This window comes from Homo sapiens, chromosome 9 (genome assembly GCF_000001405.40).
Source record: "Homo sapiens chromosome 9, GRCh38.p14 Primary Assembly".
NCBI lineage: Eukaryota > Metazoa > Chordata > Mammalia > Primates > Hominidae > Homo > Homo sapiens.
This window is the reverse complement of record NC_000009.12, coordinates 70,449,759-70,471,828: the sequence shown is the minus strand read 5'-3', so window position 1 is coordinate 70,471,828 and position 22,070 is coordinate 70,449,759. Positions and strand designations below refer to the sequence as shown.

At 44.2% G+C, this 22,070-nt stretch overlaps 2 long non-coding RNA genes across 6 annotated transcripts in view; one reads left to right on the top strand and one right to left on the bottom strand.

Moving 5' to 3' along the window:
* The window catches only part of KLF9-DT (KLF9 divergent transcript), a 136,304-nt gene that overhangs the window by 78,665 nt on the left and 35,569 nt on the right, over positions 1-22,070 (bottom strand). For all 5 annotated transcript variants that reach the window (XR_001746707.3, XR_001746710.3, XR_001746709.3 and 2 more), the window contains exons 2-3: positions 9,580-9,680; positions 8,974-9,040 (exon numbers count right to left, since the gene is read on the bottom strand). This is a non-coding gene — a long non-coding RNA (KLF9 divergent transcript). The remainder of the gene's footprint in view (positions 1-8,973; positions 9,041-9,579; positions 9,681-22,070) is intronic.
* Positions 1,280-5,430, top strand: LOC105376079 (uncharacterized). Its single transcript, XR_929917.3, has 3 exons — positions 1,280-1,355; positions 1,447-1,510; positions 5,340-5,430. It is a non-coding gene; the product is annotated as an uncharacterized LOC105376079 (long non-coding RNA).

Sequence of the window (22,070 nt, the reverse complement as noted above, 5' to 3'; positions counted from 1 at the left end):
TCGCTTGAACCCAGGAAGCGGAGGTTGCAGTGAGCTGAGATGGCGCCATTGCACTCCAGCCTGGGATACAGAACGAGAGAAAGAATGAGAGAAAGAAAGAAAGAGAGAAAGAAAAAGAAAGAAAGAAAGAAAGAAAGAAAGAAAGAAAGAAAGAAAGAAAGAAAGAAAGAAAGAAAGAAAGAAAGAAAGAAAAGAAAAGAAAGAAAGAGGAAGGAAGGAAGGAAGAAGGAAGGAAGGAAAGAAAAGAAAGAAAGAAAGAAAGAAAGAAAAGAAGGAAGGAAGGAAGAAAGAAAAAGATAATAAATGTCTTGGTTATGGAGTTGTTTACAGTGGTGTATACTTGTTCAACATTCATAGAACTATATGCTTGAAATGGGTGCACTTATTGTATGTAAATTATACCTCAATAAAGTTGATTTTAAAATTAAACAAATAGGCATTTTATTGCCTGACCAAGAGGTCAAAAGTAGATCCAAGACTAACCATAAGAAACAGCAAAGACCAGACACACAGAAGCCTTTGTGTTGTTCCCCAACCCCACCCCGTTTTTTCTTTTGGCAAGAAGTTGGTCTTTATCATGTGTACTAGTGGAGGGAAACAATGGCAAGGAAAATCTAAAAAGAGAATAATGCACAAGTCATTTACATCTGGTGGCCCTGGAATGTGTTTTGTTGCTTTATGTAATTTGAACAGAGATGTACCTGCTTGACATCCCAAAAAGACACTTCGAATGAAATAATAAAGTTTCCTATAAAGACCTGAATTACTTGTATCCAGGAAGCACTTTGCTTATCTTGCCTAACTTCACTTCTTCCATCTCCTTTTTCCAAGCAGGAAATGCAGTGATTCGCCTAATCCCAAACCTTCCTGCAAGGAGGCTCTCCAGTTTGTGCCTCCACCTACATTAGATTGGATGCCTCTGCGTTAACGTGCAGCATAAATAGAGGAAGTTGAGATGCTCAAGCCACTGTAAAGAGACTTGAAAAAAGTTTTCTTGCAAGTTACCGGAATAATCTACTTGCAGATAATTGAGAACAGATTCTACAAGAAATAGTTTCTTATATCTAGCATGCAGTTTAGCTGTCTCTGGCTCTGGGAAGTCTCTCCTGGCACACCACACACCCCTCTCCCCCCTTCAAGCCCTGTCACTTCTGAGATTGGGTTGGCTGCCTGCTATTTGTACCACACCTCCCGTCCCCAACACCCTGGACTTTGTCCTTCATGGCATTTACCACGTGGAAGGCAAATGCCTGTTTACTAATCTGTGTCCCAGACCAGACTGAGAGCTCTCTGAAAGCAGGGTCGGCTGAGGTCACTGTTGTATCCCCAGCTGCTAGAACAGTGCCAGGCTCATAGTAGGTGCTTAATGAATAGTTGTTGAGTTGTTATTATTCTGAACACATAACAGAGTTTATTTAAGGTTTTGATAATTAACTGCACAAACAGGAAAACTCTGGCGCTTCTAAAGGGAACTCCACCCAAGCCCAGCTCCAGCAGGAAATACCAAAAAGTAAGTATCTAGCACAAAAATCACCGTGTGTGTGTTTCAAGGCAATTCTCATGAGCTTATCTCCAAGAAGCTGTGGAATAGTCTGGAAAATCCAAGGCTTTAGGTCCTCCAAGGCAGATGACTTATGAGGATGGAGGGAAGGGAGGAGAAGCTTCTTGCTATCTTGAAACTCTGGGGCTGTGGAATAACACTGAGATTGGAGTCAACAGGCCAGGTCAAAAGGCCTAGACTCTCAGAGCCTCTGTAAGTGACCATATTAATACCTTCTCACATCTTACAGTCCTGTCTGTAAGTTCTTAAGGGTGATACAAATTTTAGCTGCCTAGATTATCAGAAACATCAATAACAAGCTGGGCGTGTGGTGTGTGCCTGTGGTTCCAGCAGCTGGGGCAGGAGGATCACTTGAGCCCAGGAGTTCGAGGCTGCAGTGAGCTATGATGGTGCCAATGCACACAGCCTAAGAATAACAGAATAAGACCCTGTTCTCAAAACAAGGCAAAAAACAAACAGGCCAGGCACGGTGGCTTACATCTGTAATCCCAGCACTTTGGGAGGCCGAGGTGGGTGGATCACTTGAGGTCAGGAGTTCAAGACCACCCTGGCCAACAGGGTGAAACCCCATCTCTACTAAAATTTAAAAAAAAAAAAATAGCCGGACATGGTGGCATGCACCTGTAATCCCAGCTACTCTGGAGTCTAAGGGAGGAGAATGGCTTGAACTGAGGAGGTGGAGGTTGCAGTGAGCTGAGATCGCACCATTGCACTCCAGCCTGGGCAAAAAGAGGAAAACTCTGTCTCAAAAAAAAAATTATTAATAACAATAGTAGGAATAAGTGCTGCTCAGACCCAAATGCATGCACCAGAGACCAAGAGCCATTTTGCCTTCCCCTCAGGAGTCCCCATCCATGCATAGCAAGAGTTGGGGCAGAGCTCCCTGCTGTTCACTTGGCACTTCACACTTGAAGACCATCCTTTCCAGCCTTGAGGCCTTCTGTGGATGTCACTGCCCTCCTGCTCATGTGCCACATGTAGACATTTAAGGGAATCTAATACAAAACAAGTTTTACAAAGTGCTGTGTTTCTAGCAAGAGAACCACAGGCCCATTAGATGTAGCCATCTGACTGGTTTTGGAGGGAGAGAAAAAGCTCACATGAGGAGAAAACAGAAAAAGGAAAGAAAGAGAGAGAGAGAGACAGCAAGAAAGAAAGAAAGAAAGAAAGAAAAGAAAAGAGGAAAGAAAGAGAAAGAAAGAAAAGAAAAAAGAAAAGAAGTCATTAGAGAAGAGAAGAAAAGAAAACAGGACCAAGGTAAATACTTAAGAAACACAATTTAAGAATCTTAAGTCAGATCTTTCTATCACAGGGTTGTGGTGAGCACAAAACCTTCTCCATACATGTCCCTGCCTAACCACAATTTAAGCACAGTGTTTTGTAAATAATGGGTGCCAACACAGTCAATACATATCCACTAACTTCCCTGGGATAGGCAAGGTGAGAACCAGACAAGAGTCGTATGGGGCCCTCCCCTGAAGAAATTTGTCTGGTAAATGCTTGATGACTTAAATAGAAAGTTTTAGAGATCAGTTCTGGTTTATCAAAATTCCATAGTACTTTATCTGTCCCATTCTTAGGAAGCAGCTTCTCCGAAGCTTGAAGCTGACATCCCTTACCAGAGATGCCAGGCAATTGTGAAGGGCTCACTCCTGTGTCCCTCATAGCACCCAATAGAGTGCCAAGGACACAGTGCATACTCAATATAGATTGTGCACTCTAGTGAGAGTGTACTTCTACAAAACTAAGAGGAACCGATGTAGCACACCCCCAACCTGTACTTAATATGCAGTGAATTTCAGGCAGAGGAAGGAGGGTGGTGCTCCAGGCCACACAGCCAGCAATGTGGTCAGAAAAAGGACCCTGGTCCTTAACTTCTTGCTTTCCATATACTCTCTTTCCAAGGAAATTAGATCCCAAGTTGGAAGAGGGATTTGATTCAAAGAACTAACCGTGAGGACAGTAGAAATGTGAAAACAGTCTCATCCTTGTCTCTTTTGACATTGAATTTTTTTTTTTTGAGACAGTCTTGCTGTATTGCCCAGGCTGGAGTGCAGTGGCATGATCATAGCTCACAGCAGCCTCGACCTCCTGGGCTCAAGCAATCCTCCTGCCTCATTCAGCTTCCTGAGTAGCTGGGACTATAAGTGTGCACCAACACGCCCAGCTAATTTTTGTACTTTTTGTAGAGACAGGGGTCACACTATGTTGCCCAGGCTGGTCTTGAACTTCAGGTCTCAAACAATCCTCCTGCCTTGGCCTCCATTATTTACAAAACACTGTGCTTAAATTGTGGTTAGGCAGGGACATGTATGGAGAAGGTTTTGTGTTCACCGCAACCCTGTGATAGAAAGATCTGACTTAAGATTCTTAAATTGTGTTTCTTAAGTGCTCGGATTATAGGTGTGAGCCACCATGCCCAGCCTCTGCCCGCTCTTCTAGCTCTTTGTTCCTGAAGTCTCCTTCCCCATCTATGGTGTTAGTCAAGCAGAAGATGCTGGCAGAAAGGTCTGCAGCTGCTGCAGCCAAACAGCAGCAGCAAAGGCTAACCTCCCATGGAGGGAAGGGAACAGCAACTGTCAGGGAGTGCATGGCAGTCCTCAAGGCAGGCACAAGAAGAAAATGGGATTTGTCCAGTGCAAACTGTGTAACGGCTGAGCCAAGGAAATGCAGTCTGTTTCTTCCTGGCCTGTTCAACCAGATCAGCCCCGACTCCTACTCAAGTACTAGACTTCAGCTGTTGAGATTTGAAGAAGTCCCTTTTCCACCCAAGCTTGGAACCAATTGAGACAGTCACAAGAGTCAGGCAGATGGAGATGAAACACCACCCGTATTACTCATAAAGGCTGGGTGGGGAGATAGGCCGTAGGTGTGCAGCGAGATTGAGCTTTCTAATACTAAATCCCAGAATCAGACAGACTCACCCACCCAGTCACAGGCAGCTCTGGAGGCCTGCAGGCCCCCAGCAGAGGCAAAGGTAAGTGGTACTGGAGCAGAGCAGGATAGGGGCTCTCTGCTGGCTGGCCAGGCCCATGAGAGGGAGGAATTGAGCCACACAACTCACTTCCCTCTACAAAACTCATCATTCTATTAAGTCACCCATCTTCTCCTGGGAGGGGTGAGTCAAAGGATACGGAAAGTCCAGAATATTACTGTAATAGAAGGCCCTGCTACATGGAAGCAACATCATGAGTGGTAAGCAAGCCCTCCCCCAACATGAGTCAAGACAAACCAAGCTGCATGTAACAGCGGAGGTTGTCTGAAAGGCTCAGGAAATAATGTTCTTTACTGGGCACAGTGGCTCATGCCTGGAATCCCAGCACTTTGGGAGTCTGAGGTGGGAGGATGGCTTGCATCCAGGAGTTCAAGACCAGCCTGGGCAATGTGGCAAGACTCCATCTTGCCCGTAATCTCAACACTTTGGGAGGCTAAGGTGGGCAGATCACTTCAGATCAGGAGTTCAAGACCAGCATAGCCAAACATGGTAAAACTCTGTCTCTAATAGAAATACAAAAATTAGCCTGGCGTCATGGTGCACTCCTGTAATCCCAGCTACTCAGGAGGCTGAGGTGCCAGAATCACTTGAACCTGGGAGGTAGTGGTTGCAGTGAGCAGAGATCACACCACTGCTCTCCAGCCTGGGTGACAGAGCGAGACTCTGGCTCAAAAAAAAAAAGAAAGAAAGAAAAAAATAAAACGATGCTCTTCTTTTTCCCCGATCTTCTTCCTCTTCCCACGAACCGTGCTCCTGACTTTCTGGTACTCACTCTCCTTACAGCTGCCCCTCTGTAGTTTGGGTCATGGCACTCTTGCATGAAGGAAAGGAGTAACAACTAAACCGGAGATTTTTACTTCAGTGATGGTTGAAGCGGCACATTCCACAAGGTAGAGAATGAAGAAGTGATACAGGAGCAGGGGCAGGGAAGTGCTGGGAGGAGAAGGGTGGGGTCCCTGGCGAGGGAGCCACCCTCGGGTCTGTGCCCACGGACCTAGGTGAGGACAGGCACTCCTGTTTTCACACCCAAATGTTGCATTTTCCAAGATGACCCTGGCCCGCCATGCCCCCATTCTGTGCCTATAAAAACCCCCGAAACCCTAGTGGGTAGAGACACAAGCAGCTGGACGTCAAGAGGAGCACACGGGCAGAACATACTGGCAGGCTCCAGCAGACCCTGGCAGGCCATCCACCGGTGGAACAAGGAAGCCAGAGGAATTTGGCCGGGGTGGTTGGAGTTGAGTCTGGCTACTGAGCAACAGACTCCAGGGAAAACCACCTTCCCACTCTGTCCCCCTTCTGGCTCCCCATCCATCTGCTGAGAGCTACTTCCACCATTCAATAAAACCCTGCACTCATTCTCCATGTATTTTTGTATGTAGGATAAAATTCAAAACACTTAACTGTGCCCACATGTGATGCAATTTTTCCGATACACTAAGGCAAGAACCCCAAGACGAAAAGCCCTCTGTCCTTGCAATAAGGCAGAGTGTCTAATTGAGCTGATTAACACAAGCCGCCTACAGATAGCAAAACTAAAAGAGCACACTGTAACACATGCCCCACTGGGGCTTCAGGAGCTGTAAACATTCACCCCCAGACGCTGCCGTGGGGTCAGAGCCCCACAACCTGCTCATCTGCCTGCTCCCCCTAGAGGTTTGAGCAGCGGGGGGCACTGAAGAAGCGAGTCACAGCCCCATGGCATGCTCTGCGAGGGGGACAAGGGAACTTTTCCCATCTCAGAAGGAGGAGCAGGTCAGATTGGTGTACTGGCTGAGGAGGACTGCCTCCTAACCTCTTCCCTTTCTTCCCAAAAGAATGAAGAACACAAGCAAAAATAATCTAAAATCATTTCATATTACTGTTCAGAGCCAGAGGGGAATTCTGGTATAATATCAAATATATTTGGTGCTCCTGAAACCCTTGGAATAATTTCCTGAGTTATAGGAGTGTATTTTGCTATTCATAATAAGCCCCTTTGGATCACACCTGAGTTTATGCTAATGAGGTGACTTAGGGTAGGGCCCCTGGAGAGCCTCAGGATGGGGGCTGTCACCAGAAAGACCAAGTGATCTAAGGGCTGGAACTTGCAGCTCCATCCAGATCTCTGGGAAAGAAAGGAGAAGAAGCTGGAGGTAAAGTTCTATAAAACCTGTTGTACAATAAGATTTGAAAGCTTTAGGATTGTGGAGCTTGTGGAGGTGGTTGGAGGGTGGTGCCTGAGGGCATGGAATCTCCATGCTCCTTCTTACATATCTATGCGACTCTTCCATCCAGGCTGGAGTGCAGTGGCATGATCTCGGCTGGCCGCTGCAACCTCCACCTCCTGGGTTCAAGCAATTCTCCTGCCTCAGCTTCCCGAGTGGCTGGGATTACAGGCACCCACCACCATGCTTGGCTAATTTTTGTTTGTATTTTTAGTAAAGATGGGGTTTCACCATGTTAGCCAGGCAGGTCTTGAACTCCTGACCTCAGGTGATCCGCCTGCCTTGGCCTCCCAAAGTGCTGGGATTACAGGTGTGAACCACCTCGCTCACCCTGTAATATCCTTTATAATAAAGTGATAAACGAGTTTTCCTCAGTTTTGTAAGCCATCCTAGCAAATTAATCAAACCTAAGGAGGGATAAGGAGAACCATGATTTACAGTCAGCAGTTCCGAAGTATAGGCGACGGCCAGGCCTGGTGGCTCATGCCTGTAATCTCAGCCCTTTGGGAGGCCAAGGCGGGAGGATCACTTGAGCCCAGGAGTTCAAGACCAGCCTGGGCAACATGGCAAAACCCCATCTCTACTAAAACTACAAAAATTAGCTGGGCATGGTGGCATATGCCTATAGTCCCAGCTACTTGGGGGGCTGATGTCGGAGGATTGCTTGAGCCCGGGAGTTCAAGGCTACAGCAAGCCATGATTGCACCACTGTACTCCAGTCTGGGCTACAGAATGAGACCTTGTCCCAAAAACAAAAACAAACAAACAAACAAAACCAGAAGTATAGGTGACCATTTCAGATTGGCATGTGAGGTGGGAAGCAGTCTTGTGGGACTGAGCCCTTCATCTGTGGCTAATTGAACTGAAGTAAAGGATGCCCGGCAGGGCTGTGCTGGAGTGTTGCTTGGTATGTAGAGATTTCTTCACCCCACCCCCACACACACTTCTCCCCATGGAAGTGTGCAGTGTTGAGTGAGAGTAGAGAGAGGAAAAAAAGTTTGTTTTTTCCTCCAAAGAATCAAATGAGTCAACTCTAGAGCACACTGCAGGATTTCCAAAGCTCAGTCTTCCCCTGTAATCTTCACTTGTGCATTCATTCTATAAACATCTTCATGGAGCACCTACAAAGTAGGAGGCCCTATACTAGGCACTGGGGACACATTGCAGCCCTCGTGAAATTTTTGTCAATCCGTAAGTCAAACAAGAATCTGCTGAGCATCTATTATGCACCCCACCATGCTGGGTACTCAGTGAATCCCTCTGAGACTTGCCCCCTCCGGCCTGCAACAGTAAAGTACCTGAAAGCCTGGTTTCCTTTACTTTGAGGAGAGATTTCTTCTTCACAGATTGCCTGGGGGTGGCAGACAGTTTAGGAAAACAATATACAGGGCTGATTCTAGAAATTAAATGACGTGTCTCTCATGGAAGATTGCACAAATTCTGAAGAAGGGTTGATGAGCATTACCCTTAAATAGGTAAAACCATTCTAAAAAATAACACCTCAGTGGCTTTAAAAACGTTAAAGGGGTGAAACTCTGCAACCCACTCTTTACGGGGGCGCAACTGCTGACCCCACCATGGCTCTTAGAGAGATAGATCTGTACATTTTTAGATACCATAGAAAGATTTATTTCTGCCTGAGCTTCTTCAGAGCATTGTACATTTTTATAAAATTGTAAAACAACACAGCAGGCAAAAGAATAAAAGCTTTTTCCCTCCTTTAGTCTCAATATAACTGTGTATGAAGGGCGGAGAGCCAAAAAGTTCACATTCAGAAACTCTGGTGCTATTTGTAGCTCCCTAATAACCAAAACTTTTTTGGCCATCTACTCATCCATTCATTTTGTTATCTCTAAACCTCAAAAGCCTGAGGGTAGGCACGTAGTAGGTTATTAGTGAGGACTTATTGAATGAACAGATAAATGAATGAATGGATGGCTAAATGAATGAATGAAATATCCAGAGATCAGTCCATAGTAGATCCACCTTCCCACAAGCACAGAGTAACTTCAGGAGTGGGCATCAGAAACTCTTATTTATACCCCACTGGAGACTGGAAGCAGAGAATTTCTTGTGTGCTGACCCTTAAGGGGAAGAAATTGAAGAGAGAAATACAAAGGACTCACTCAAAAAGACTGCTGAATCCAAGAACTAGAGAACTGGAGAAATGTGTGATTCAATCTATCACCCACCCTCAGGTCAGTAATTACCTGTTAAGCTTGGTGAGGGATGCATGAGGCAGGAGGTCAGCCTGGGCAACATAGCGAGATCCTATCTCTAAAAAAATAAAATATATATAATTACTTCAGCTTCATTGCAAATATTCATTGAGCTTTTACTATGTGCCAGGAGCTATGTCTACCAAGGTGAATAAGACCACACACTCCTATTCCTCCAGCTTACATCCCACCATCTTTTCTGTGACCAACTGCTCATTCCTGCTTTCATTTTCCTGTCTATGAATTTAGAGTCCTTAGTCCAACATTGTGCTAACCATTCCCTTGTAAATGTCTTCAACTCCCTTGCCCTCTCTCCCCTATTGCACACACACAGCAAACCTTTGCTTATGAATGAAATCTGAGACCCACTTCCCCTATGCCAGCTCAGCATTGCTGGAGAAAGTCACACAACTGTGCCAACTGATGTCATTTATAATATGTGACCCAAACTCATCCTTCTCCCAGTTATCTGATTTCAGTAAATGGCACCATGGCCCACCCAAATATTTAGGCCAGAAATTCCCTTTTACCTCATGCCCCATGTTCAAACCATCACCAAGATATGGATACCATGTCTAACATAAATCTGAGACCCACCTCTTCTCTCCATCTTCATCTGCCACCACCTTGTCCAGGTCTCTAACACCTCTCACCTGCACCACTGAAATGGGCTCTGAATTGGTCTGCTGGTTTATTCACTGAAAGAATGAAAGAGAAGTATTAACTTCTAAACTGGGTCATGTTTGCAGCAGTCACTATCTGCCACATATCTTTACCTTTACCACTTCAGTACTCACTAACCTGACTTCCGACAGCAGAACCCATATTTCTTTGCCAGAAGATTTTCTCTGGTAAAGAAGCTGTTTTGTCTACCCCTTGCAGCAGGCTAGAAATACCTGCTTGTGCCTCACAAGACATTTTCTTGTCTCCCAGACCTCAAGCAATGGCTTACAGGATTGGGTGTATAAATACTCCAGTTCTGGGCCAGTTGCAGTGGCTCACACCTGTAATCCCAACGCTTTGGGAGGCTGAGATGGGAGGACCACTTCAGGCCAGGAGTTTGAAATTTGCCTGGAAAACACAGCAAGACTCTGTCTCTGCAAAAAAAAAAAAAAAAAAAAAAAAAAAAAAAAAAATATATATATATATATATATACACACACACACACACACGCACATATATATATACACACACATATACACACACACACACACACATATATATATATATATATATATATATATACACACAAAATTAGCAAGGTGTGGTGCCCATCTGGGGTCCCAGCTATTGGGGAGGCTGAGATGGAAGGATCGCTTGAGCCCAGGAGTTCCAGGCTGAGGTTAGCTATGATCATGCCACTGCACTGTAGGCTGGGCAACAGAGCCAGACCCTATCTCTAAAATAAACAAAATAAATAAATAAATAAATAAATATCAGCCGGGTGCAGTCGCTCATGCCTGTAATCCCAGCACTGTGGGAGGCCAAGGTGGGCAGATCACTTGAGGTCAGGAATTCAAGACCAGCCTGGCCAACATGGCAAAACCCCATTTCTACTAAAAATACAAAATTTAGCTGGGCATAGTGGCATGCGCCTGTAACCCCAGATACTCAGGAGGTTGAGGCACAAGAATCACTTGAACCCGGTAGGCAGAGGTTGCAGTGAGCCGAGATTGTGCCACTGCACTCCAGCCTGGGCGGCAGAGTGAAACTGCGTCTCAAAAAAATAAATAATAAATAAATAACAAATAAATACATATCCCAGTTCTCTCAAACTCAAGTGGGATAACTTGAGGGGTACATTCTAAAGTGGTTCCCAGAACTCTTCAGAGGGATTAAGCTTCAGTTATCCACAGTGATAACTTGATTTATAACTCATCCTTTGTTGGATTTCTTCCCTCTCCTGCCTCAGTTTCCCACTCTTCTATTGATGCTTCCTTACACCACCTCCCAAACAGACTACTTTGACTTGGTCTTCTTCCAGGGGAAACCAGACAAAGCCAATGTCTCTTTCTACCATCCTTACCACGGCATATTATTGCCTTTAGGATAAAATTCAAAACACTTAACTTTTCTCCAGAAGGTCCTATATGCTACTCCTACATTTTAATTCCCTTTCCCACAACACTGGTTTCATATTGCCTCCTTTATTTTTTTTTCCCCCAAGTCAGGTTCTCACTCTGGCACCCAGGCTGGAGTGCAATGGCATGACCACAGCTCACTGCAGCCTCAACCTCTTGAGCTCAATGAATCCTCCCACTTCAGCCTCCTGAGTAGCTGGGATTACCAGATGAGCACCACCATGCCTGTGTAGTTTTTGTATTCTTTGTATGTAGAGATGGGGTTTCACCATGTTGCCCAGGCTGGTCTTGAACTCCTGAGCTCAAGCAGTCCTCCCGCCTTAGCCTCCCAAAGTGCTGGGATTACAGGCATAAGCCACCACATCCTGCCTGCCTCCTTTCAATTCTTTGAATATTCTCAGCCCTCTGCCACCTCAGGGCCTTTGCACATCCCATTCCCTGGGCCTGGATCACCCTTGCCCAGCTCTTCACATGCTGGCTTGACCCTCTTCCTCCAAGTCTCAGTTCAAATTTCTTTTCTTAGACAGAATTAGTAAAGGCCTTCCTTTATTAATTCATCTAGTTTTTCCTGATATTCTCTTCCTTTATTGGCTTCATGGCACTTACTACAACTTGTAATCCTGTTTGTGAGTTTGCTTAAGATTTGTCTCCCGACTAGACCGGAAGCTCCAAGGAAACAGAAATCTTAGCTTTCTTAATAAGGACATGGCAGAGGGCCTAGCATATTGGAAGCCACCAACTGCCAATTTTATTTTTAAGATCAAACAAAATCTTAACCTCAAAGGGTTCACAGTATAATAGAAGAAATTTGTATACAAATATGTAATTTCCATGAAGTTAAATTGCCATGGACAGAAGGCGCTAATGGATCACAAAGCTCACAGTGTCAGATAAAAGAAATGGCACCTCATTTTATTGATCCAACAGCCTCTAAGTCCCATGAGGTACTGTGAACCCCCAAAATCTGAGACAGATCTCAGTCAATTTAGGAAGTATATTTTGCCAAAGTTAAGGATGCATGTCGGTGACACAGCCTCAGGAGGTGCTGACATGTGCCCAAGGTGGATGGAGCACAGCCTGGCTGCCTTCTGCCATGACTGTAAGCTCCCTGAGGCCTCCCCAGAAGCTGATGCTGCTATGCTTCCTGTACAGCCTGCAGAGCCATGAGCCAATTAAACCTCATTTCTTTATAAATTACCCAGTCTCAAGTATTTATTTATAGCAGTTTGAGAACAGACTAATACAGAGGTAGAGTTTCTTTAAAATGAGCTTTACCACACAAACCATAACTATTCTCTCACCCACATTTATGTAAGTGCCCAGAAGTATAACACTCTGTTGTCCCACAATCCCCGCCCCATTACAAATATTCAGACCATGTTCCTCCCTTGGCATAAAAGTCAGCAAATAGTCCCTTCCTTTTCTGCCCCTCTAACCCCAGTGTGGGACTAGTGCTAATGATTATTATGACCAGTATGTCAACTGATCACAACTTAACAGAATTGTATACTCAAAGAATCATAGGATTACAAAGAGCCTAATGAGATTTGTCCGATTATGAATTTAATAAAGGTAAAAATTATATGCCCAACTTGAGAGGAAACCCTTATTACTTTTTCCCTCCCCTACCAAAGAAAGTTAACAGAGGTAAGCATCCATTTAGGTCCTTCCTTTTTAAATTTGCATAATAAAAATTTTCAACACAGAGAAGTAGAGAGAGCTGGGCACAGTGACTCACGTCTGTAATCCCAGCACTTTGGGAGACTGAGGTGGGAGGATCCTTTGAGCCCAGGAGTTCAAGACCAGCCTGGGCAACATGGTTGAGACCCCATCTCTGGAAAAAAGAAAAAAATTCGCCAGAATGGTGACACACAACTGTGGTTCCAGCTACTCAGCAGGCTGAGGTGGAAGGACTGCTTGAGCCAGAGAGGTCGTGGTTGCAGTGAGCCATGATCACGCCACTGCACTCCACCTTGGGCAACACGGCGAGACCCTGTCTCAAATAAAGAGAAATAGAAAGAGTAATATCATGAACCCATCACTCCTGTATCTATTGCTCATCTTCAACAATCATCAAGGCCAATTTTATTTCATCTCTAACCTCCCTTCCTGCCCCCATACATTTAACCCCTACCTTGAAACTTTGGGATATATTTTTTTAATTTCAGATATCACAGATATCACGTCATTTCATCTACAAATACCTCATCTGTAATACGTATCTCTTAAAAATAATCTTTTAACATTACTACTATCCAAATTTTTTAAATCCCTTAATTTCATCAAATATCCCTGTACTTATTTCCTTATGTAAACCAAAAATAAAATTCTAAGGCCCCCCCAACCATCCAAATGGACCCCTCCTCCCAGCCAAAGGCATTTCAAAGTTAACCCAAAAAACTAGTTCAGGCCATAATGGAAGAGGGGGTCAAACATGTCCCATTATATCCTCCATCATTAACATCAAAACAGAGCTTAAGTCTGAAAAGAAACATTTACAATCTATTCTCTCTGAAGCCTGCTACTTGGAGGCTTCAGCAGCATGATAAAACCTTGGTTTCCACAACCCTTTATCATAACCCAGATATTCCTATCTATTGACAATAACTCTTTCAACCAATTGCCAATTAGAAAATTCTAAAATCTAGGCTGGGCATGGTGGCTCACACCTGTAATCCCAGCACTTTGGAGCCCCAAGTGGGCAGATCACTTGAGGTCAGGAGTTCAAGACCAGCTTGGCCAACATGGTGAAACCCCATCTCTACTAAAAATATTAAAAAAAAAAAAATCAGCCGGGTGTGGTGGCACATGCCTGTGATCCTAGCTACTCAGGAGGCTGAGGTGGGAGGATTCCTTGAACTCAGGAGGCATAGGTTGCAGTAAGCCAAGATTGTACCACTGCACTCCAGCCTAGGCAACAGAGCGAGACTCCATCTCAAAAATAAATAAAATCTACTTATGACCTGGAAGGCCCCCTACTTTGAGCTGTCCTGCCCTTCCAGATCAAACCAATGTAAATCTTCACAGGTATTGATGGATGTATCGTGTTTCCCTAAATGCATAAAAGCTAGCTGTACCCCGACCACCATGGGCACATGTCCTCAGGACTTCCTGAGGCTGTGTCATGGGCGTGCCCTTAATTTTGGCAAAATAAACTTTGTAAATCAACTGAGACCTGTCTCAGATACTTTTGGGTTCACACCTAAGTATCTCATGTTGTGTTTGTTTTATAGTTGGCTTGTTCAAATCAGGATCCAAACAAGGTCTACACTTGCATTTAGTTGATAAGTCTCTTAAATCTGTTTTAATTTATGGCTTTTGCTTCCATCTGCCATGGCTCCCCACCCACCACACCCTGTACCAGGATTACATTTTGAGACAATCTTTCCAAGCCTTGTGAACACACTGTTTTCTGATTTCAACTGACTCATCTCTCCTGCTAAACTAATAAAAACCTAATAGACCACCTTCTTTTTATTTTAAATTTCTTTTTTTGCTGAGAAAGGGTCTCACCATGTTAGCCAGGCTGGTCTTGAACTCACGGCATCATGCAATCCTCTCTCCTCAGCCTCCCAACACACTGGGATTATAGGCATGAGCCAACATGCCTGGCCTAGACACCCTTCTTTAAGATATAACTTTAAGGGGTATGCTTGGATTTAGGTCCATGTTAAAGTATTAAAATTTATCAATGAAAGATAGTCTGATTATACCTTATACTGGAGGAGATAAGAGTCAATTTCACACAACAGTTGCTATAACACTTTTTTAAAACTCTACTATCAGGGGATGTTTCACAAAAGTCAATAAGTATTTTGTTCCGTTGACGGTGCCTTTGCCATAGCTTTTAAATAATATGAAACCAGAAAATGTTTCAGTGGCAATACACATCAGTTACATCCTGATAATGGTACCCCTTCACCCTAGACCTTCTTAAGGTTACTTTTATATTCTTCTCTCTATGAAGTGGCGTAAAACTAATAGCTTCACAGGAAAAATCTCACTGAGACCTCTTGGCAAGTTTCCCCCAAGCTGAGTCGCATCTGTGGAGAACTGGTGTGAAGTGAAAACACAGGGAATAACAGATATCTGTGAATTTATTTGGGTCAACTTGACGCTATTAACTGCAGGCTTTGATGGAAATGCTGTGAACCCTCCTCCCTAGTCTGGCTTCCTTGCTTAGGACCCAGGAGGAAGCACATTCTCAAGGTCTGTTTACTCTTCCAACCTGGTTCCACTGGGCTTGCACCTCACCCCTGCGCTTAACACCTGAACAGGCAAAGTTTTGCACTGTAAACTTGGAGGTGTGAGTCTCATTATTGCTTTTCCTATGGTGCATGCCTGGGATTTGTCCAGCGCTAGAACAGGCAAGAGTTCAAAGCAGCCTTGATGGCACCTTTTCATGGCTTGAGTCAATTAGCAAGGGATTCCAAGCTGGCCTGGAAGTCCTGGCTGCCAGAAAGTCCCCGGAGCAACAGTTGGAATAAAAATAATAAAAACAACTACAGAGTAATTTGTGAAAATGCCAAGTACAGCACAAACACACTGACCCTTGTAAACCTTGACATGAACTGGGAGAGGTGGGGCCCAGCGTGCCTTCAGGATGGCAGAGGTGGGAGGCTGCTGCCTTCCTGCCAATTCTCCAGCCTTTCCAAATCTTCCTAACACCTAACATCGTCCAACCAAACTCTCCTAACACCGCTCACTCTACCTGACCAGACATCTGGGTCATCCAGTCTTTCATCCAAGCAGGCCCTCTCTCCACACAACTCCTTTCTTCCACAAATGAAAGTGTTGCATGTATAAGGTAAGGCCAGAGCCCGCAACTCTAACAGCCTGTTAAAAACAGCAGCTTCCAAAAGAGGGCCTGCTAAACAGCTCTTCAAGCCTCTAATGACTCCCAGAACCTAAATAAGTCAACATTAAACTTCCAGGCTCTACAATTTAGCCTTTTCTCTTCTCCTTCCTCCCATTAAATGGTTCAGGATATACGCACCACTGTTTACAAAAAAGCAAATACTTCTCTTAAGATAAATGGACTTTCTCTAAGCTCACAGCTGTAAAAGCTACAAAAAGCTACAGAAGTGATTGATAAACCACCACAGCTTAGTTTATATAGACACAATTAAAGCTAAGGACAGCCCAAATCACATTTTGTTACTACTGTGTATATTGAAATAAAGACTGTTTTAGGATTCCTACACTTGACCATATTAGGAAGGTGAGGAAAAAATAATCTAAATTGGAAAGAGAGAAATAAAGGAAGATTTGATTTTATTTCATATACATTTGCAATTTTTTAACTTTATTTTATTATTATTATTATTGAGACAGGGTCTCACTCTGTCATCCAGGCTGGAGTGCAATGGCATGATCTTAGCAGCACTGCAACCTCCGCCTTCCAGGTTCAAGCAATTCTCCTGCCTCAGCCTCCCGAGTAGCTGGGATTACAGGCGTGCCATGCCAGCCTACATTTTCAATTTTTTTTTTTAATCCTCACTGTGGGCCAGGCACGGTGGCTCATGCCTGTAATCCCAGCACTGTAGGAGGCTGAGGCGGGTGAATCACCTGAGGTCAGGAGTTCCATATCAGCCTGACCAATATGGTGAAACCCCATCTCCACTAAAAATACAAAAATTAGCCGGGCGTGGTGGCACATGTCTGTAGTCCCAGCTACTCTGGAGGCTGAGGCAGGAGAATCACTTGAACCTGGGAGGCAGAGGTTGCAGTGAGCTAAGATCGTGTCACTGCACTCCAGCCTGGGCAACAGAGTGAGACTCCATCTCAAAACAAAATAAAAAATAAAAAATCCTCATTGTGGTTCTGCTGGGGGCAGGCCAGGGGACAGGAAAAAAGGTAGTGACCAACAAGAGACATAGATGGGGCTTCCAGGGGATGCTGGTGATGTTCCCCATTTCTGAACTGGGGTGTTTTTTGTTTGTTGTATAGAGTCAAGGTCTCACTGTGTTGCCCAGGCTGCTCTCGAACTCCTGGGCTCAAGTGATCCTCCTGCCTCAGTCTCCTAAAGTGCTGGGATTACAAGCATGAGCCTCCGTGTCTGGCCAAGGATCATTCTTGGTTTTCTGCCTTAGTAAGTTCCAAAAATACCACTTTCCCCCTTTCCTTCACCTCCCCCAAGTCTGCCTCAGTTGGGCTGGGGTGGGATGCAGCTATCTGCTTTTATAAAAGTCATATAATTCGCAGGTTCTTGGGATTTGCAAAAAGTAATAATAATAATAAAAGTCATGTGAGATAACTTCTGAGCAGGTGGTTTAGGAACACACTTTAAGATACAGTGAGTTCTTAGAGGCCTCCATAAGAAATACTTAAAAATAAACTTTTGCAATATAAATGTATTTATTACCACTAAACTGAACACTTAAAAATGGTAAAGATGGTAAATCATATATGTGTATTTTACTTCAATAAAAATAAATTTTTAAAAAAATAAAAACTATTCTGTGAAAAAAAATAATAAACTCTACTCTAAATGTATTTGGGTGTTATAAAAGCAGATAGCTGGATTCCACCTCAGTCCAACTGAGGCGGACTTGGGGGAGGGCGGGGAAAGGGAGAAACTGGTATTTCTCTAGTTTATCTGAGGCAGAAAACCAAGAATAATCCTTGGCCAAATGCAGTGGCTCATGCCTGTAATCCCAGCTCTTTGGGAGGCTGAGGCAGGAGGATCACTTGAGTCCAATAGTTGAAGACCAGCCTGAGCAACAAAGCAAGACCCCATCTTTACAAAAATGAAATGAAATAAAAAAAATTAGCCAGGCATGTTGGTGCATGTCTATAATCCCAGCTACATGGGAGGCCGAAGCAGGAGGATCCTCTGAGCCTAGAAGGTCGAGACTGCAGTGAGCTATGATTGTGCCACTGCACTCCAGCCAAGACACCAGAGTGAGACAAGACCCTATATCTTGGGAAAAAAAAAAAAAAAACCTTCCTCTCACACACACTGCACACACTGCCCACATCCAGACAGACATCAGTTCCATCCCATGGCCCAGCCTCTAGCCTCTCTTTCTTGATCTCCTAATATGTGTCCTGATTTTATTCTTGCCCTCTGCGTATTTGCCCTCCATATGGTTTCCAGGATAATATTTCAAAAACACAAACATGACTATTTAATAAAGAGCCCCCTTTACTAGCCCCCTAACACTCACACCAAAATACATGCAATTAAGCCCAGCTCCTTAGCAAGGTCTACAGCCCTGCCTTTCTATCTTCCTCTCCCCTGACTGCGCTCATCATCCCCACATCTCCAGCCTGCTTTCTGGTTCCCAAACACATCATGTTCTTCTGCACCTTTTTGCCTTTGCTAATTTTGTCTCCTCTGCCTGGAAGGCCCATACATTCCCTTCTCCCCCTGGCAGAGTTCTACTCAAATGTGAGGCTAAGGCCACATCAAATGCCACCTTATCTGCCTTCCTTTCCTGCTGGAAGTTCCTTCCCTTGCTATCTGTCACCACTAGAATGACTATAATGAATATATTATGTCTGTTATTTACGAAGAACTTCTCTACTAGATTATCGTCCCCTAAAGAAATGGATCATACCTTGTTCTCTATGAAGTTCTAAAGCCTTACATAGTTTCTGATGCATATTAGGTGCTCAATAAATATTTCCTCCACTGAATTTAATCAACTCTAACAAAAGAAAACCAAAAAAAAATCTATTACTTGGGCTGCGCGCAGTGGCTCACATCTGTAATCCCAACACTGGAAGGCTGAGGCAGGCAAATCACATGAGGTCAGGAGTTCAAGACCAGCCTGGCCAACATGGCGAAACCCCGTCTCTACTAAAAATACAAAAATTAGCCAGGCATGGTGTTGTGTGCCTGTAATCCCAGCTACTTGGGAGGCTGAGGCAGGAGAATGGCTTGAACCCAGGAGGCGGAGGTTGCAGTGAGCCAAGATCACGCCATTGTACTCCAGCCTGGGTGACAGAGAGAGACTCCATCTCAAAAAATAAATAAAATAAAATCTATTACTTGGCTCTTCAGCCTTGGGCTCTCTTACCTAAACTGTTTCCTTTCAATTCCCTTCCAATTATGGTGAATACTGGTCATTTCTGGCCTACAAAGACGATGCTGCAGAGGCCATCTTTCTTTGCTAAGCCTCTTCTCATTGGCCAGGCTTGGGCCTGAGCAGCCAACACTGGTGCCAGCAACTATAATTACACACTTCTCCTGTGAACAGCGGCCATGACCCAGCAGCAAGGTGAGCACGGTAACTGGAAAGTGCTCTGTCTTTGCCAGTTCTTAGAGCCTTCTTCTGTCACCTTCTGAAGCACCAGGCAGCAGATAGAATTACCCTCACCCAGAGCAGAGATGTCTTGTAGGATACTTAACTCCCTCCAAGCCAAACCACCTTTTCTTCCAAACCTCACCTTCTCAGAGGTTGCTCTTCCAGCCTGAGATGCAGAGAATCATCTTGGAATGATTTGAGTTCTATGGGTAATCACACTGACTCAGTGGCTGGGCATAGCTTGGGGAGGCCCATGGCTGAAAACAGGTTCAGGTGGACAAGCACTGGGTCCATAGAAAGCATTTCAAAAAATTAAGATGATGAGCAGCTTTCAAATTATACCATCTTCACATTGAAAAGGACATTTAATAAATACCGAGTATCACAGAAGCAATTTAGAGATCAACAAGTCCATACCCTCATTTTACAGATGAGGAAACTGAGACCAAGAAACGGGGGGTGACTTTCTCAAGGTTACCCAGCTATTTGGCACTGAGCTTCATTCCATTCAGCATTCTTTCCAGCTTCCACACTTAAGCTCAGGGACTCGCTGGCAAAAACAAAGTCCAGGGTTTCCCAACATCTCTGCCCAGTCCATCTCTTATCGACTCACTTGTCTTTAAGAAGGTTGCAGTTTTAGTCCCACGGTCTGTGTACTGAAACTGCACATCAGACCCCTCAGCAAATCCACAGGATGTCCCCTCTCCCATGCACTTGGAAGCTTCCACTTAAGCCACAGTTTCTATACCTGCACCAGACCACACAAAGTGATTTTTAAAATTACAGAATTCTGGCCCTCTATATTAGTATTTTCCATTTCAGTAGATCTGGGATGGAGCTCAAGCAAGAGTTTTTTTTGTTTGTTTGTTTGTTTTTTTGAGATGGAGTCTCGCTCTGTCGCCCAGCCTGGAATGCTGTGGTGTGATCTCGGCTCACTGCAAGCACCACCTCCCGGGTTCATGCCATTCTCCTGCCTCAGCCTCCTGAGTAGCTGGGACTACAGGCGCCCGCCACCATGCCTGGCTAATTTTTTGTATTTTTAGTAGAGACAGGTTTTCACCGTGTTAGCCAGGATGGTCTCGATCTCCTGACCTCGTGATCTGCCCACCTCAGCCTCCCAAAGTGCTGGGATTGTAGGCTTGAGCCACCACGCCCGGCCGCAAGTGTATTTTTTTTTTTAACTCCTTCACTAAGTCTTCTGTGACTCAAAATTTCAGGACCAGTAGACCAGCTGCCCTTTTTGGGTCCTTCCTGACCTAGAGATATATGCTTCTACATAATGTGGAATCCCCGACCTCAGATTCACTGGTGTTCCATTATTTCTGATTTTTCTTTAAAAAGGATAAAATCAGAAGTATGAGTTTGTTATCCAAACTTAAAGCAAGAAAACGGGCATCCAGAGAGAATGTGAAAGTTACTCAAGGTCACCGACAGACTGCCTCCATCAGCAGTAGACGTTTTAACTCAAAGACCATGCGGTGATGCTGTCCTATAGAATAAGCAGCAAAAAAAAAAAAAAAAAAAAAAAAAAAAAGACCTGTGACCCTGAATGACTCAGCCACTGCCCTGCAAGGTGAAAGTCAATTAATGTCTGTGCACCATCTCTGCATCCATGACATGACAGCGATAATGTTTGCCTCCATTTCAGGCAACAGAGATGCTTATGAAACACTGGAAGGATAAAAGTGTTAGGGGAAGACACAACTGCCTTTTTTAAATAACTCAGATGTGATATTCTCCCTTAAGTGGCCACATTGAGCAAAATTTCCATTTAGATCCAGCATGGTCATATGAAATATGAGAACACTGACATCTTAAACCCCTGTTCATGTAACTTAGGCTATGGCTAACCTCAGTATGGCTACTTTAATTTATAATTTATAAAAATCAGCCTAATACCAAGATACAACTTTCTTAGGTCATTAGATTCTTAGTCTCCAGTAAATCCAAAATCCTATTATAAACTTTGCAAAAAGGGAGGTGCCTCCATGGGGAAAAAAAAATCATAAGCTGGTTCAACTATGAATACTGGACTCTAGGGGCTGGAAACCGAAGAGCTGGCTGAGGATCCTTGCTTAAGTAACCCAAACAACGTTCCTGGAATCATCACGCACCCCTAAGAAAACCTTTATTTTAGCTTCATACACCATCTTGTCCCAAATCCCACTAATTTATGAGCAAACAGAAACAGTGCTATTCAATAGAATGCCTTAGGTAGGATTGAAAGCTCAATAAAGTCTTGAATACAATTCCACTGAGTGATACGAGATTTCAATGGCTACCATCTCCTGGGATTGCAGCTCCTACAATGCTAAGGCTGTTTTGCAATCACGTTCTTCCACCTCCATGCATGTGAAGCTCATACTCAGAGTTCCCTCCAGTTTTCCTACTGGTCTTCAGGATGGGAAGCTCTCACAGATCTTCACTTACATGCAGTGGGAAGCCACAGAGACAGCAGTATAGTAAAAAGAGGAATCTGAAAAAATGGAGCACTGGGACAGAGCAGAGAGAAGTGGACACACAAGTTGAACAAGCTCAAGGGCTAATACCAGAGAAGCAATTGCAAAAACAGAGAAAGAGAGAAAAGGAAGAGAAAGGAGAATAACGTATCTATTTTCAAGATAGATGGTAAGTACAAGAAATAGTTCTCAATTCCAGATTGTTTTGAGTGAGGCAGTAAGAATAGAGGTAAAGGGTGATGGGTGACAGCTGCAAGGAAGAGAAAAGTCATGTCATCCCATGCACTGACTATAC